Raw genomic sequence first — 16,048 nt, 5'->3', positions numbered from 1 at the left:
GGGCTGGGCTCGGAGGCTCACGCCTGTAATCCCAGCACTTTCGGAGGCCCAGGAGGGCAGATCACGAGGTCAGGAGATCGAGACCATCCTGGCTAACACGGTGAAACCCTGTCTCTACTAAAAATACAAAAAAATTAGCCAGGCATGGTGGTGGGCACCTGTAGTCCCAGCTACTCAGGAGGCTGAGGCAGGAGAATGGCGTGAACCCGGGAGGCGGGGCTTGCAGTGAGCCGAGATTGCGCCACTGCACTCCAGCCTGGGCGACAGAGCGAGACTGTGTCTCAAAAAAAAAAAAAAAAAAAAAAAAAAAAAGCCCACAACCTAGATCCCTCGCATGCGCAGTTTACAATACCGTTCGTGCTCCTCTGAGAATCAAATGCCACCACTGATCTGACAGGAGGCGGAGTTCTGCGGTAACATGAGTGATGAGGAGTGGCTGCAAATACAGATGAAGCTTCGTTTGCTCACTTCCTGTTGTGTGGCCCAGACAGGGCACTGTCTGTGGCCCCAGGGGTTGAGGACCCCTGGCTTTAACAACAGAAAGGTACCATCTTACAGTTCTGGAGGCCAAAGTCTGATATCCAGGTGTCTGCAGGGTTGATCCCTTCTGAGGCTGTGAGCAGGACCCCCTCCAGGCTCTCCTCTGGCCTTTGGTTTCCTTCCTTCCTTCCCTCCCTCCCTCACTCCTTTTCTCTCTCTTTCTTTCCTCCCCTCCCCTCTTCTCCCCTCTTCTCCCCTCCCCTCCCCTCCCGTTCTCCCCTCCCCTCCCCTCTCTTCTCCCTTCCCCTCTTCTCCCCTCCCCTCCCCTCTTCTCTCCTCTTCTCCCCTCCCCTCCCCTCTTCTCTCCTCTTCTCCCCTCCCCTCTTCTCCCCTCTTCTCCCCTCTTCTCTTCTCACTCTTTTGCCCAGGCTGGCGTGGTTTATGTTTGTGGTTTTTCTTTATTTATCTTGCCAGACATTTGCACGTTTTGATGAACTTTTCAAACAGCCAGTTCTTTGCTTTATATTCAATTGTAGACTGAGTTTTCCTGGGGGGTGTTGGAATTGGGGAGGAAGGATCTTTTTTTTTTTTTTTTTTGAGATGGAGTCTCACTCTGTCACCCAGGCTGGAGTCCAGTGGTGTGATCTCCACTCACTGCAACCTCTGCCTCCCAGGTTCAAGTGATTCTCCTGCCTCAGCCTCCTGAGTAGCTGAGATTACAGGCACCTGCCACCACACCCAGCTAATTTTTTGTTTGTTTCTTTGTTTGTTTCTTTGTTTGTTTGTAGAGATGGGATTTCACCATGTTGGTCAGGCTGGTCTTGAACTCCTGACCTCAAATGATCTGCCTGCTTCAACCTCCCAAAGTGCTGGGATTACAGGCATGAGCCACCGTGCCTGGCTGTGATCATTTATCTTGGCTTTTTTCTTAAGTCTTCTTCTGTTTCTGTTCTGCAGTGCATGGTGGCTCGTTTGTGTGAGTTCAACGCTCAGCTGTGCATTGTTTATCTCTTAGAGCAGGTGTGAATTTTCTGTTTTCAACCAGCTATGTGCAAACATGAACTCCTATTTTTATAACTGCTCAGACATTCCTATGACAGGGCCTCATTTCTGCTTGGCAACAAGAAAACTGAATTTAATTTCATTTAATCGGGTAAACAGTTCTGTCGGGTATTTTTCTCTAGCGGAGTCTGGTTGAAAGCTTCATCGCTCACAGAGAACATTCCAGCATTAGTGTCATGGCCTCTGGCCGGTGCAAGGGTTTCTCGGAGCCCAGGTGGCTCCCTGCGGGGAGGAGAATTCGACGCTCTGTCCCCTTCCTCTGCCAGGGACCCACTTACTAGTCTCCGGGGCTGCTGTAATAGAGGAACACAAACTGGGTGGCATCAAACAACATCACATTTCTCACAGTTCTGGAGGCCAAACTGCAACATCAAGATATTAACAGATAATGACCTGCTCCCTCTGCAGGCTGTAGGGGAAGAGCCTCCCTTGTCTTTCCCGGCTTCCAGGGCTGCTGGCCATCCTGGGCGTCCTTTGGCTTGTGGCTGCCTGGCTGCCATCCCTGCACCCGTTGTCGCTTGACCTTCCGTTCATGTGCCTCTGTTCTCTCTCCTTATACAGACCCCAGTTACTGGATTGGGATCCACCCTCACTCAATATGGCCTCAGCTTAATGAAAGACATCTGCAGAGACCCTATTTCTACTAAAAGCCACATTCTGAGACTTCTCGTGGGCGTGAGTTTTTGAGAGACACTGTTCTGCTCCATGCAGGGAGGGAATTGGGATCTGAAGACGTTGCATTCGAGGTCTCGGGGCTCCTGATGAGCAGCCTCGGCCTGACCTGGGGCAGGTGTGATGTCTGCGGCTCACCATCTCCACCCTGCCTGCTGTGGAATCTCCACAACGACAGGTGCTTTGGAGGCCAGAGTGCATGCGTACGGGCCCTGCACACGCTGAATGTCACTGGGAACAAGGACACACCCCGCTTCCAGGAGAAGATAGAACATGTCGACCCCTTTTGTGAGTACAATTTTTTGAAGTCTCCAAAGCAATGGGACTGCCCCGGGGAAGATGGAGGCTGTGAAGGGAGTGTTGACCCCAGTGGGAGGTGAACGGAACGGGATATGCGGGCGCTCGGGGTGGAAGAACGACGTAGGCGGTCAGTGGTCGGTGGGCCATGCCCACATCCGGGCTAGATGTCACTATGGTGCTGTTCTGTTTCCACACAGCCAGACAATGCACAAAATAGGCCATCTGGGCCATCTGGGGCGAACATCCAGCCTGGAGGCCCTCGAACAAGCCCACTGAGGGCCTCCAGTTGGGGGCACACATGGGTGACACCTGGCCTAGTGACGCCCCACCTGGGTTGCACGTTAAAGTCACTGGGGAACTTTTAAAGGGCTGATGTCTGATTTCTCCAGGGATTCCGAGGTGAGCGGGAACGAGGTGCGGTCTGGGCTTGGGGGTTTTAGTGTTGGTCATCCACAGCGACACTGAGAACGGAGGCTCTCTGTGGGTGAGCCCTTGGGGAACCCAGCTGACCAGGCCCCTGGGGTCCCATGAGGCCTAAGTCTGAGAAGACTTGTGTCTCCCAGAGCCTGCGGGCCGTCCCAGGCTTGTACCTCTGGCCCCGCTCTCCGCTCAGGCCGCTGAACAGGGCTGATCCACGTCCTTCAAACAGCTGCTCAGATATTTCAAATCAGCTTTCATGGGCTTTTCCATAGGAAGGGGACGTCTGCTTGCTGAAGCCAGCAGCTGGCCCGGCGGGAGGTGTGTCAGATGTGCTGGGGGAGCCGTGACCTTTCCTGGGTCCCCCACTGCTCAGCGCAGCCGCCTCAGGCACGCAGAGAGGATGGCCGAGGCTGCCAGAGGCCCTGTGGCTAGGTGTGAAGGACCTCTGGGTGCTGGAATCTGCACGTGTTCCTGTGTAGTGCTCAGCCCCTAGAGGACTTGCAGGTGGAGTGGGCGAGGACAAGTTTCTGGGGAGGACAGAGGCCTGGCCCTGGGGTGACAGATGGTGGTGTCACCTCATCCGGTCATTCATGAGCTGTGCACACTGGGCAGGTGGCCCCCTGCAGCCTCCGTTCTGCATTTTTGAAATGAAGGGGGCAGAGGGTGGCGTGCACAGTCTCAGCACATCACTCAGCATGGAGGGGCGCCGGTCATAATAATAAGGATGAAAAATCCCCTCTAGAGTTCCTTACCAGCCATGCGTGGTCCCAGGGCGTTCGCCAGGTTGGCAGTTGATCTAACCCCGCCACCCCAATAACCCAGAGTCAGCGACGCCTGTTGCCTCCACCCCAGCGCTGTGGGACTAAGGCCCAGGCAGGTTCAGTGGCTTGAACAGGTCACCTGGTTGGTGGGCAGGAGAGCAGGCGCCCCCGGCCACCAGTCTCAACGCCTCCTGGGCCCACTTGTGACTAGAATAGTGCTCTTGTGTTGACTATTGACTGACCAGGGCGCCCCTTCCACACCCACTCATCCCTGGGGTTCCTCTAGGGTCCCACGCCTCCTAGGGTCCCTCTGCAGCCTCCACTCACAACTAGAAGCTGAATGACCTTGGTTCTTCCAAATGACCTTTGGAATGACCGATTGTTCTGCTTTCTTCTGAAGACCATATGACACATTATCAGACCAAACCAGAGCTCTTGGTTTTCGGATCTGGGGATGAATTCTTTAGCACAGATGGAACCATGAACTTCTATGATCAACTGCCAGGAAGGAAATACCTCAGGTAATGCCGCTGCCTGCTGCTGATGCGGGGACAGCCAGTTCCCCACGGTCACATCTGCCTGACGATTAGACTAGGGAAGAATTTGGGCAAAACAGCAAGTCTTAAGGTTTGTTTGGAAATGATCAGGCCAAGCAAAGCCAGAGACTGGAAATTGTATTTCCAGATCTTCATTCAGATTCTTTTCTCTATGATTCGTAAAATTAAAAAGATTAAAAATTCACATTTGAATTCCAAAAATTCTTACTTTTTTTTTTTTTTTTTTTTTTTTTTTTTTTGAGACAGGCTCTCGTTCTGTTGCCCAGGCTGGAGTTCAGTGGCATGATCTTGGCTCACTGCAGCCTCGAACTCACAGGCTTAGGTGATCCTCCCACCTCAGCCTCCTCAGTAGCTGGGACTACAGGTATGTGCTACCATACCCGGCTAATTTTTTAAAAAACCTTTAGTAGAGATGAGGTCTTGCTATGTTGCCCAAGCTCGAATAATCCACCACCTCGACCTCCCAAAGTGCTGGGATTACAGGTGTGAGCCATTGCACGCAGCCTCAAAAATTCTTACTATTCTTCTAAAGCCCTCATTGTGTAGTATCTTCTTACCTTTTCCCCCTTTATTCAAAATATTCCAAATCTCTGCCCCTGGAACTGCCTTGTGTCGTCTTTTTTTTTTTTTTTTTTTTTTTGAGATAGAGTTTCGCTCTTGTCGCCCAGGCTGGAGTGTAATGGCATGATCTCCGCTCACCACAACCTCCACCTCCCGGGTTCGAGTGAATCTCCTGCCTCGGCCTCCTGAATAGCTGGGGTTACAGGCACGTGCCACCACACCCAGATAGTTTTGCATTTTTAGGGGGTTTCTCCATGTTAGCCAGGCTGGTCTCGAACTCCTGACTTCAGGTGATCTGCCCGCCTCAGCCTCCCAAAGTGCTGGGATTACAGGCGTGAGCCACTGCGCCCGGCTGCCTTGTGTCTTCTTAAAAGAGGAAGCTGCGGTGTCCTTATCATTTCATGGCTATGTTGATTTCTGTGTAATTGGAGGCCCTGAATTTTCATCCTTAACATTGTCCTCTGGGTGGTGGCCCCAGACGGCTCCGATGGCAGCAGGCACATGTCCAAGCCCGCTCTCCAGCCCCCATCAGGTCCCTGGCTTGATACAGGGCAGCGTCTTCCCATTCTATGAGCACTCAGACTCTCTGCTCAGACACGGTGGGACTCTCCACCCCGGTCCTTGGCGTTCTGATGGGGTCGGCTTCCTGGGGCTCCTGGAACAAATGTTCATGCATTGGGCAGCTGAAAGCAACAGCAGCTGATTCTCTCGCGTCCTGGAGGTCAGAAGCCCAGGATCCAGGTGTCAGTAGGGCTACTCTCTCTCCGAAGGCTCCCAGCGAGGGTCCTACCTGCCTCTTCCAGCTTCCGGTGGCCCCAGGTGTTCCTTGGTATGTGGCGGCGTCACTCCAGTCTCTGCTCCATCTCACATGAACTTCTCCTCTGGGCCTGTGTCTCAAGTCTCCCTCTGCCTTTCTCTGATAAGGACACCAGTCACTGGATATGGGGCATGCCCTAATCTCATATAATCTCATCTCAAAATCCTTAACTTAATTACATCGGCAAAGGTCCTTTTTCCAAGGATTCACAGGTACTAGGAGTTAGGACTTGGTGAATCGTTTTTCCAAGGATTCACATTCACAGGGGCTGGGGTTAGGGCTTAGACATAGCTTTTAAAAAAAAAATGGCTTTAGGCCTGGTGCGGTGGCTCATGCCTGTAATCCCAGCACTTTGGGAGGCCGAGGCAGGTGGATTATGAGGTCAGGAGATCATCAAGACCATCCCGGCTAACATGGTGAAACCCCATCTCTACTAAAAATACAAAAAAATTAGCCAGACATGGTGGCGGGCGCCTGTAGTCCCAGCTACTGGGGAGGCTAAGGCAGGAGAATGGCGTGAACCTGGGAGGTGGAGCTTGCAGTGAGCCAAGTTCATGCCACTGCACTCCAGCCTGGGCGACAGAGCAAGACTGTCTCAAAAAATAAAAATAAAAATAAATAACTTTATTGACATAATTTACATACCACGTAATTCACCCATTTAAAGTGTACAATTCAATGGGTTTGAGTATATCATGAATTTCTTAAAATTGTGGTAAAATATATGTAGCATAAAATCTGCCATCTTAACATTTTAAGTGTACGGACATGATTTTTTGGGGGCATAGCCTACTGCAGGGATGGTTGACTCATGCAGGGAGCAGCCCTGCCTTGGGCTTTTCTGTCCTGAAACCTCAGAGCTCATGCCTGCATTTCCCTCTGCCCAGGCCCCTGGCTGCTGTTCCCCCAGGGGGCTCCTGGAAAGTCCAGCCCCCAACTCCAGCGAAGGAGCCCCCTGCTTCTCTGCATGGCCACTGTTCATGTCCTCCGCAGCATCCGGCACAATGCACACCTACCTGCCTCTGTTTGCAGACCCGATGATGATGTTTTCCTCCAAGATACCCCATCGGGTACCCGTCCCCGTCCTAAGCTCAGCTCAGTGCATGGCAGAGTGCAGGAGCCCTGTAGGGTTTTGGAAGGAGGACAGTGAACTTGAAGTCTTGGCTGGCGGGCAGTGGAAGGTGGGAGAAGATCCTCGGGTAGCGTCGGTTTTCTTAACTGAGAGGAAATTCACATAAATGAACCATTGTTAAGTACACGATTCCATGTCATTTGGTGTATTCACAATGTCGTACAGCCACCAGCTCTTTTCTAGTTTCAAAACTTTTTCATCACCTCATAAAAACACTCTGTTCCAGCTGGGCGTGGTGGCTCATGCCTGTAATCCCAGCACTTTGGGAGGCCAAGGTGGGCAGATCACTTGAAATCAGGAGTTCAAGACCAGCCTGGCCAACATGGTGAAACCCCGTCTCTACTACAAATACAAAAACTAGGCGGGCGTGGTGGCATGCAACTGTAATCCCAGCTACTCAGAAGGCTGAGGCAGGAGAATTGCTGGAACCCGGGAGGCAGAGGTTACAGTGAGCTGAGATCGAGCCGCTCTACTCTAGCCTGGGTGACAGAGCGAGACTCCATCTCAAAAAATAATAAAAACATAAAAACACCCTGTTCCCATTAAGTACAGCCGGCCCTTGGTGTCCACGGGTTCTACATCCATGGATTCAGCCAACTGTGGATTGAAAATATTAGGAAAAAAATAACTGTACCTGGCCATGTTGGCCAGGCTGGTCTTGAACTCCTGATCTCAAGTGATCCGCCCACCTCAGCCTCCCAAAGTGCCGGGATTACAGGCATGAGCCACCACGCCCAGCTGGAACAGGGTGTTTTTATGAGGTGATGAAAAAGTTAAAAAAATACTGTGTAACAACTATTTACATAGCACTTACACTGTATTAGGCATGGTAAGTAACCTCGACGTGATTTAAAGTGTGTGGGAGGATGTGCATAGGTTATAAGAAAATACTATGCATACATCAGGGACTTGAGCAACTGTGGCCTTTGGCATCCTTAGGGGACTTGGAACCCATCCCTCAAGGACAGCAAGGGATGACTGTAACCACTCCCGCTTCCTCCCCTCTCCTATCCCCTGCTAACGGCTAATCCGCTTTCCGGCTCTACAGATTTGCCTATTCTGGGTACAGCCTCTAAAAGGAATCACGTACTATGTGGCTTTTTGTGTCTGACTTCTTTCACTTACATAATGTTTTCAAGGCTTATGCAAATAATGTTTTTCAGGTTTATGCAAATTGTAACATGTATAAGAACTTCACTCGTTTAAAGGCTGAGTAATGGCCACATTTTGTTTATCTGTGCATCTGTTGATGGGCATTTGGGTGGTTCCCACCTTTTGGCTACTGTGAATAACGCTGAACGTTGCAGTGTAGAACTCTGCGTGGACATATGTTTTCATTTCTCTTGGGTGCATACTTGGATATTGTGTTTATGACACCATGAGAGATTCCAGGATGCCCATGCCTTGGGTTACAGGCACATGGAAACTTGCTTTTTTTTTTTTTTTTTTTTTTCAGAGCCATCCCCAGTGCAGGACATGCTATTGACTTCCATGAGACAAACACCTACTTGGAAATCAGGTTTTTTCTGTACCTTTTGAAGGAGCAGGAATTTCCCAGCATTTCCTGGACAAAGACGGAGGTAAGTGTTGGATACGGAGTGGAGTTCAGAGATGGAGACTCATCCCTGTATGTGACAGGGATGGGGATTTACCAAGAGAGGACAGTGCCCAGCCTGAGCCTGGGAGTTTGGTTGTTGGGTGGCAGAACTCGTCTGAGATGTGCCATTCTGGTGTGTCCTGGATCAAAATTTGGGCCAGGCTGGGGTGGCTTCAGCTGGAATCACCTGCAACCTGTCTCCTCAAGTCCCCAGCCCCTAATGCCGCTGGGTAATCCCTGGGCTTATCAGCCATGTAAATCTCATACCAAAAGGCGAGGCACAGTGGAAACATTTGGAAGCCCCCAGGATAACGCGTGGAGCCTGAAGCAGCCTGGCCCAGCCTCTCAGGCCTAGATGCGCCTCTGCAGATGTCGGGGGCAGGTGGGTATTTGCATTCCATTGAAACCTGTCTGTGCTTGTCAGAGGATGGCCAGAAGCAGACCCAGGAGGAGCTTCGGAACTGCACGGGGCAGGTGCAGCCTGGGGGTGGCACGGACCACAGAACACAAGAGGCATCCAGGAGTCAGATGCAGCAGATAGAGGCCGCGTGCCTCACCGCCTGTGAAATGCAGGGAGAGGAGGATGTTTATGTCACTGAGCCCATCGGGCACAGCATGGAAGTATGTGACATCCATGGTTGACACTAGGAAGACAGCACTTGAGTTAGGCCTATGAAGGGTGGATCATGACCTTGGGCTTTTGTGCAAAGATGACACTCCTATGCGTGGCCGTGTCCTCAAATGCATTGACATTTAGCATAATGTTTTTAAGGTCCACCTATGTTGTAGCCTTTAAAAAAATCCAGGTGTCCTCAGGAGGTGTGAGTCCAGGGATACCGCAAACGATGCTTGTTCACTACCAGAATGGGACCCTGGGAGGAAGAAGGCGTACAAAGTGTGTGAGCTCTGGGAGGGAAGAGATATCTCGTTGAGAGAATCCCAAGGGTGTCAGAGGCTTGGAGATCATCCAGTAAGGAAACGAAGGCGCAAGCGTCGATGTGGCTGTCTCTGGGTCCTAGGACAGGGCCTGTCCCCCCTGCCAGGGTGGTGCTGGCTCTTGGCCGCCTGCCATCTTCCCTGCCTCACTGACCCAGCAAGACAAAGGTACAGAGAGAGTGTCCCCTCCTTTCAGACAGCGAGGCTGGGCATCGTCAGGTTCCACACTGACGTGGAGCCCCTCTCCATCAAGGCTTGGCCAGCAAAGGCCTGTGGTGGAGAAAGGTACTGAGAATTGTGGAACCCGTGTAGGGCAGTGGCCCCGATGTGTGGGCATGGGGGGCATTTCCCTCCCTTTTTGGTACCTCCTCAGGGTCCGCAGTGTGGTCCTGGGACTGCCTTCATGGGCATCATAGGAAAGCCACACGGCAAGGCCCAGGCTGACCATCTAATCGGAGGACAGTACCCCTCGCTTCCTGCAGACCCCGGGCGGGCATGTGGCACCCCAGTGAGGGGAAGAAGGGGCCATGCCCCGACGGGTGCCGAGACCCACCTCCCGTGCTCTCCCTTCCTGTGGGGGCCTCCCTGCAGCTCCTCCCGGCGCCTCTTTGCAGCAGAATCCCACGCATTGCACCTTTCTTGAGCCCCTCCCTTCTTTCTTGGGTACTTGCCTGGTCTGGCAGCGGCCCTGACAGCTGGGCATGGGGGCCTATTCCACCTGGATCTGCTTCGGGTTAAATGGTCATCAGTGATGCACACTGACCCTTTTTTGTAAGTGTTGCTGTCTCTGGGTAACATATTTATTTTTATGGGGTCTCGTTCTGATACCTCGGACGTCACCATGGCACAGGCGCACCTCTGCAGATGTCGGGGGCAGGTGGGTGTTTGCGTTCCATTGAAACCTGTCTGTGCTTGTCAGAGGATGGCCAGAAGCAGACCCAGGAGGAGCTTCGGAACTGCACTAGGCAGGTGCAGCCTGGGGGTGGCACGGACCACGGAACACAAGAGACATCCAGCAGGCAGATGTAGTAGATAGAGGCCGCGTGCCTCACTGCCTGTGAAATGCAGGGAGAGGAGGGTGTTTGTGTCACTGAGCCGCTCAGGGAGCAGAGTTTCTGAGTCAGTTTAGACAAGACACACTCCCGTGGTGGCTCTGGGGCCATGTTCTCCTGTGCCTGGTCACTGCAGGGGGGGCTGTGGCATCCCTCCGTCTGCAGCCACGGCAGCAGGAGAGCCACATCAGTAGAACTCAGTGACTCCAACAACGGGGCATCCTGGCCTGGGGAGGTCCGCCGCAGACCTGTGCTTCAGGACACGGAAGTGGCATGTTTGAGAAGGGACTAGACCTGGGCAGCCGTTAGGTTCAGCCCTGCTTTGACAGGTGTGGCTCGAGGAATCCAGCGCCATCAGCCGGGGCAGCGCAGGCGGGAGGAGCTGGGCCTCTCACTCCCGGCAGGGCCCTGTCACTCCTGCTGCTGCTGAATCTGTGTGTTCTGTTCCCTCAGAAGAGAATTCTGGTCCTTTTCCCCTGGGATTGAGGTCTCCTGGGCTCAGTCTGCAGTGGGAAACCCGGTAAGAGGAGCCCCCCGCACTGCCCCACTTTCCAGATCCTTTCTCCATCAGTACCAGGGGCTGCAGCAGCGGTGCCCAAATCGCCCTCAGCCTCCCTTTCTGCTCTGCCGACTCCTGGGACACGGCCCTCCACCGTTCCCCAGCCTCTGGGCACCCCGGCTCGCCACAGTGGCCCTTGGTGCCTCTGGACTGGTCCTGAGTGTGTGCCGGCAGCCTCTGGCTTTTGAGGCAATGCTTTCCTGACAATACATCTGTGGGTTGAGTGGGTGGAAACTGAATCGCCGACTTACGTTTATTTTCTTTTTTGCTTTTGGAATTTTTTTTTCCTGAGCTGAAATTCACATAACATAAAACTAACCATTTCAAAATGAAGAATTCAGCAGCAATTAGTACTTACACAAGGTTTTCCAGCCACCATCTCTACCTACTTGTAACACATTTCCCTCACCCCAAGAGGAAACCCCAAGCTGGGCATGGTGGTGCGTGCCTGTGGTCCCAGCCAGTCAGGTCCCAGCTGCTCGGGAGGCTGAGGTGGGAGGATCACTTGAGCCCAGGAGGTCGAGGTTGCAGTGAGCCGTGATCGTGCCACTGCACTCCAGCCTGGGCAACAGAGCGAGACCCTGTCTCTAAAAACAAAAACAGAAGGAAACCCTGAGCCTGCGAAACAAAAGGAAACCCTGACCCCATGAACAGTCTCTCCTCATTCTGCCTCCCCACAGTCCCTGGCTGCCGCTCATCTGCTTTCTGTCCATGGATCACCTATTCTGGGTGTTTCATGTACATGGAATTGTATAATATGTGGCCTTTTGTGCCCAGTTTCTCGCACTAAGCATAACATTTTCAAGGTTCATCTATGTTGTCACGTGTATCACTGCTTCAGGACTTTTTTTGCTTTTTTGTTTTTGAGATGGAGTCTTGCTCCATCACCCAGGCTGGAGTGCAATGGTACAATCTCGGCTCACTGCAACCTCCGCCTCCCAGGTTCAAGCGATTCTCCTGCCTCAGCCTCCTGAGTAGCGGGGATTACAGGCGTCCGCCACCACGCCTGGCTAATTTTTTTATATTTTTAGTAGAGATGGGATTTCACCATGTTGGCCAGACTGGTCTCAAACTCCTGACCTCAGGTGATCCACCCGCCTCTGCCTCCCAAAGTGCTGAGATTACAGGCGTGAGCCACTGTGCCTGGCCGGGATGTTTTAAGAATGAATAATGTTCATGTGTATGAATAGACCACACTTTGTTTATCCATCCGTCTGTTGATGGACACCTGGGTTGCTTCCATCTTTTAGTGACTATAAATAATGATGCTATGAGTATATGTGTACCAGTTTTTGAGTACCAGTTTTCAGTTCTTTTGGGTGTATACCTAGGAGCGGAATTGCTGGGTCATACGGTAATTCTATGTTTAACTTTTTAAGGAACAACCAAACTGTTTTTCATAGCAGCTGCACCATTTTTCATTCCCACCAGCAATGTATGAGCGTCCTAATTTCTCCACATCCTCACCAACTCTTGTTATTTTCAGTTTTCTTTTTTTAAATTGTAGTTACCCTAGAGGTTGTAAAGTGGTATCTCATTGTTGTTCTGATTTGCATTTTCTTAATGACTGGTGATGTTGAACATCTTTTCATGTGCTTATTGGCCATTTATAGATCTCCTTTGGAGAAATATCTATTAGGTCCTTCGATCATTTTAAAATTGGGTTGTTCGTCTTTGCTATTGACTTGTAAGAATTCCTTTATATTCCAGATGCTAGATCCTTATCAGAGAGATGATTTGCAAACGTTTTCTCCAACTCTGTGGGTAGCCTTTTCACTGTCTTGATAATGCCCTTTGATGCACAGGCGTATTTCTCAAGTGATTTTATTCCCACAAGGCTAAACGTTACCATATTTCTCATACTTCACTTTTCTGACAAAATCCTGCTGAAAACTTTAACAATATTATTGAAGTTTGGTTTGAGCCTTTTCCCCCAATAAAACACACAGTCCTCAAGGCTTTGATTTAATTTAATAATTAAATACTTGAATCCCTGCACACCCTTGCACTGCTGGGGGAGACAGGGAGATGTGAGGAGCTCTCCAGTGGCACTGCCACCTAAAGGCAACGTGGCTGCACGTGACCAAATACGTCACTGGCTGTCAGGCAACGAAGTGGTCCAGTGGATTCACTGGGGTGGGCATGATAGTTCCAACCAACCAGAGCTGGATGCACATGAGCCTGCACACACTCTTTAGCCCACCTGATTGTTTTCTACTATAAAACTCAAGGCATATGTAAAATAGTCACGGATACCTTAAGGAAGGCCCCTGTTAGGTTTATGGTGACTTCAGGGTGGGTTGACTTCTTTATGATCAACCTAGACTTCCACTCCCTCCCTGGGCAAAGAGCTGGCCCAGCACTCCAAGTAGGGAGCTCTTTATGGATATTGATCGCTGCTCTGGAGATGAGCTAGGACCAGACTGGAAGCATGAGTTGCGGGGCTGCTGGGGTTAAACGGGAAGAGAGCATGCTGGTGGGGGCTGCCAGGAGAGCTTGATGAGGGAGCAGTTCTCTGAATGGGAGACTTGTTACTTGCACACAGAGCCTTCAATGACTGTGACATTTTGCTCTATGTCACAGGCTCCTGGGGCCTACAGAAAGGAGCTGGAGGTGCCTAGTGCAGGCTGGGAGGCCTCCTTTATTGAGGTGACATCCCTGGATGCTGGCTTGGCGGAGGTTGGGGAGAACGCTGCCTCCCTGGAATAGAAGATGCCTTGGAAGCCCTGGGTGCAGGCTGGCCGACCCTGCCTGAGCTGCCTGTCTTCATTCCATGGCTCTGCTTGTTAGAGGAGGAAGTTAGGCAGACATGAGTGGCGCCCACCAGCCCAGGAATGTCAGGTGACCATCAGGTGATGGTCAGGCAGTTGTTAAACTGTCTCTCTGAAATGATCATTGGTTGCAGCTCACACCAGGGGAAGATGGTCTCCCAATAAATAAAAAAACACCTGAAACTGGTGATCAGCAGCTTCCCGATAAGCTCTCGAGTTGGGCGAGTGGGCTCAAGCGTGCGCACTAAGAGGCAAAATGGCGGATGTATGAACTTCCTCTGGGGGCATTCAACCAGTAAAGGAAAACCGCCCCTAGAGAGCATGCGCACAACCTCAGTCAACTCACTACACATGCAATTACCCTCCTGAGTGCTGACCAACACTGCTGCATGGGGCTGTTGAGCAACAGCCCGCCCCAAGGGAAGAACCGAGGGAGGAGAAGAGAAAACTCCAGAGCCGTGCCAACGGATAAACCCCACGCCCAGGGCTGAGCGGTCACTTGGATCTCTCACGTGGCGCACTCAGCCCTCTTCCAAGTATACTTTAACTTCCTTTCACTCCTGCTCTAAAACTTTTTCATAAACCCTCACTCCTGTTCTAAAACGTGCCTCAATCTCTCCCTCTACCTTAAACCTACTTCTGCTCCAGATTCTTTCCACTGAGGAGGCAAGGATGGAGTTGCTGCTGACCCGTGCAGATTTGCTGCTGGTAACATACTCATGGGCAAAGTCTGAAAAACCTCTTCCTGCCCTGGGCAAGGCAGATGGGGCAGCCCAGCAGGCTGGCTTTGCCCACCGTCTCCGATATCATCCAACACAGTCAGCCAGGTTGTGTGGCCCTCTCATCTACATTCTCATTTGCCAACAAGATGGTGTGGGCTATGCTGTCTTTGCACAGCGATCTGATCCCAGGGACATTTGTGTGGGTGTGTGCCCGGGAGCTGCATGTCTGCAGGTTCAGATTGGGGTCAGCTTTGCTGGTGAGTGTGGCTTCCTGCCATGGCACCAAAGAAGAGGGCTGGCGGATTAGTCCTGTTGTCTCTCATAGCTTTGTAGGGACACAGCGGGCCATGTGGACTGACAGCTGGAGACTTCATAAAGATGGCCTAGAAAATTAGGACACTGTCCTGTTGACAAAGCCCCTAGGCCTGCCCCCATCAGGCCTCATGGGTCCTTTTCAGGCCTAAGCCAGGGTTCTGAAATCATCTGTAATGTGAATTTATATTTCTAGGCCACATTCGCTGCATCCTTTCCAGCAAGATGTCATTCTGAGATTTTTGTCATTCCTGGGCGTTATGAGGACTGCCAAGGGACACAATTCCATGGGAGGAAAGTTTTCTTCTAAGCTGCAAGCCAGCTCTGGCTTCTGGAGTTTCTCCTTAGGATTGCAAGACAGTAGTTCCCTGTCCTTTAGGTCTTCTCCAGAAATACCTTAAAATAGCAAATAAAATAAGATATAAGCAAACAAAACCTGAAGTTAACAGCTGACTCGATTTCTGTGCACCGGAAGCTGTGTTTTATTCACCTTTCACAGCCCATCTTCAGGCTGACGTGTTAGGGTGTGCACACCGAGACATTTCTCACCCGTTTTTGTAATGTCTTCAAGTTGGGATCAATGCCCTTGAACTTCTAGGCCTGTGCCTGCACAAGCTGCCCCTCCCCGTGTCTTCGGAGAAGTCCTACTGCGGGGACACAGAGTGGGGGAGGCAAAGCACCGTCAGCTACCATGACACGAAGCTTGTTGCTGGACCCAGAGGACATGAAGGAGGGGAAGGGGCTCCCAGTACAGTCCAACCCATGCGCCGCTCAGACCCGCTCTGCCCTCCCGTTACTTCTGGCCCATCACAGAGCCCCCTAGCTGGCAAGAATCGGCAGCATTTGAGGCCTCTTGGTGTCAGTGTCAACTCAGACCGTGGATCCAACAGCCCTGAAATGTCTGCATCCTCCCTTTTCCCAGCGTATACTCTGACACATGTCCGTAGGTTCCTTTAGGGAGAGGTTAAGGGACTCGGCCAGGTGCAATGGCTCACACCTGTAATCCCTGCACTTTGGGAGGCTGAGGCAGGAGGATCACTTGAACCCAGGAGTCTAAGACCAGCCTGGGCAACATAGTGAGACCTTGTCTCTATGTTAAAAAAAAAAAAATTGAGGGACTCTATCAAATATACTTGCAGGGCCACTGTGGGGCTCTTTCTTAAGGAGGCCTGGGATCCTCGTGTACGGATGGGCTCTGGGGCTATGAAATTGACTGAAGATGCTTTTTCATTGCGGTGGCTGATACCAGCCTTTGGTTCACCAGCTCTGTATTTCCCTTTTAGGGATACAGATTAAGTCACCATGCTCATCCCAAAGGGCACTGGGCCTTTCTGTCA

The 16,048-nt window shown here is 51.6% G+C and overlaps 1 long non-coding RNA gene across 2 annotated transcripts, besides 5 other annotated features; it reads left to right on the top strand.

Annotated features, from left to right (window-relative positions):
* Positions 142–643: an enhancer, noted in NCBI's record as "H3K4me1 hESC enhancer chr17:76627973-76628474 (GRCh37/hg19 assembly coordinates)". NCBI's record gives its function as "activates a minimal SCP1, AML or CMV promoter by ChIP-STARR-seq in naive H9 embryonic stem cells {active_cell/tissue: H9 hESC(naive)}" and the evidence as "EXISTENCE:reporter gene assay evidence [ECO:0000049][PMID:30033119]".
* SCAT1 (S-phase cancer associated transcript 1) lies at positions 477–15,150 on the top strand. Of its 2 annotated transcripts, none has more exons than NR_110849.1 (5): positions 477–544; positions 2,104–2,502; positions 4,499–4,616; positions 8,219–8,342; positions 14,908–15,150. It is a non-coding gene; the product is annotated as an S-phase cancer associated transcript 1 (long non-coding RNA). The 2 variants fall into 2 exon arrangements; NR_110848.1 differs by having other exon boundaries at positions 477–585; positions 2,254–2,502; positions 13,490–15,150.
* Positions 6,060–6,559: an enhancer, noted in NCBI's record as "H3K4me1 hESC enhancer chr17:76622057-76622556 (GRCh37/hg19 assembly coordinates)". NCBI's record gives its function as "activates a minimal SCP1, AML or CMV promoter by ChIP-STARR-seq in naive H9 embryonic stem cells {active_cell/tissue: H9 hESC(naive)}" and the evidence as "EXISTENCE:reporter gene assay evidence [ECO:0000049][PMID:30033119]".
* Positions 9,214–10,205: an enhancer, noted in NCBI's record as "H3K4me1 hESC enhancer chr17:76618411-76619402 (GRCh37/hg19 assembly coordinates)". NCBI's record gives its function as "activates a minimal SCP1, AML or CMV promoter by ChIP-STARR-seq in primed H9 embryonic stem cells {active_cell/tissue: H9 hESC(primed)}" and the evidence as "EXISTENCE:reporter gene assay evidence [ECO:0000049][PMID:30033119]".
* Positions 13,252–13,751: an enhancer, noted in NCBI's record as "H3K27ac hESC enhancer chr17:76614865-76615364 (GRCh37/hg19 assembly coordinates)". NCBI's record gives its function as "activates a minimal SCP1, AML or CMV promoter by ChIP-STARR-seq in naive H9 embryonic stem cells {active_cell/tissue: H9 hESC(naive)}" and the evidence as "EXISTENCE:reporter gene assay evidence [ECO:0000049][PMID:30033119]".
* Positions 13,752–14,253: an enhancer, noted in NCBI's record as "H3K27ac hESC enhancer chr17:76614363-76614864 (GRCh37/hg19 assembly coordinates)". NCBI's record gives its function as "activates a minimal SCP1, AML or CMV promoter by ChIP-STARR-seq in naive H9 embryonic stem cells {active_cell/tissue: H9 hESC(naive)}" and the evidence as "EXISTENCE:reporter gene assay evidence [ECO:0000049][PMID:30033119]".
* Positions 15,151–16,048: the final 898 nt, after the last annotated feature.

The sequence above is a fragment of the Homo sapiens genome, chromosome 17, assembly GCF_000001405.40.
Source record: "Homo sapiens chromosome 17, GRCh38.p14 Primary Assembly".
NCBI lineage: Eukaryota > Metazoa > Chordata > Mammalia > Primates > Hominidae > Homo > Homo sapiens.
Note: the sequence above shows the minus strand (reverse complement) of the source record. Positions and strands in the feature narration are given on the sequence as shown.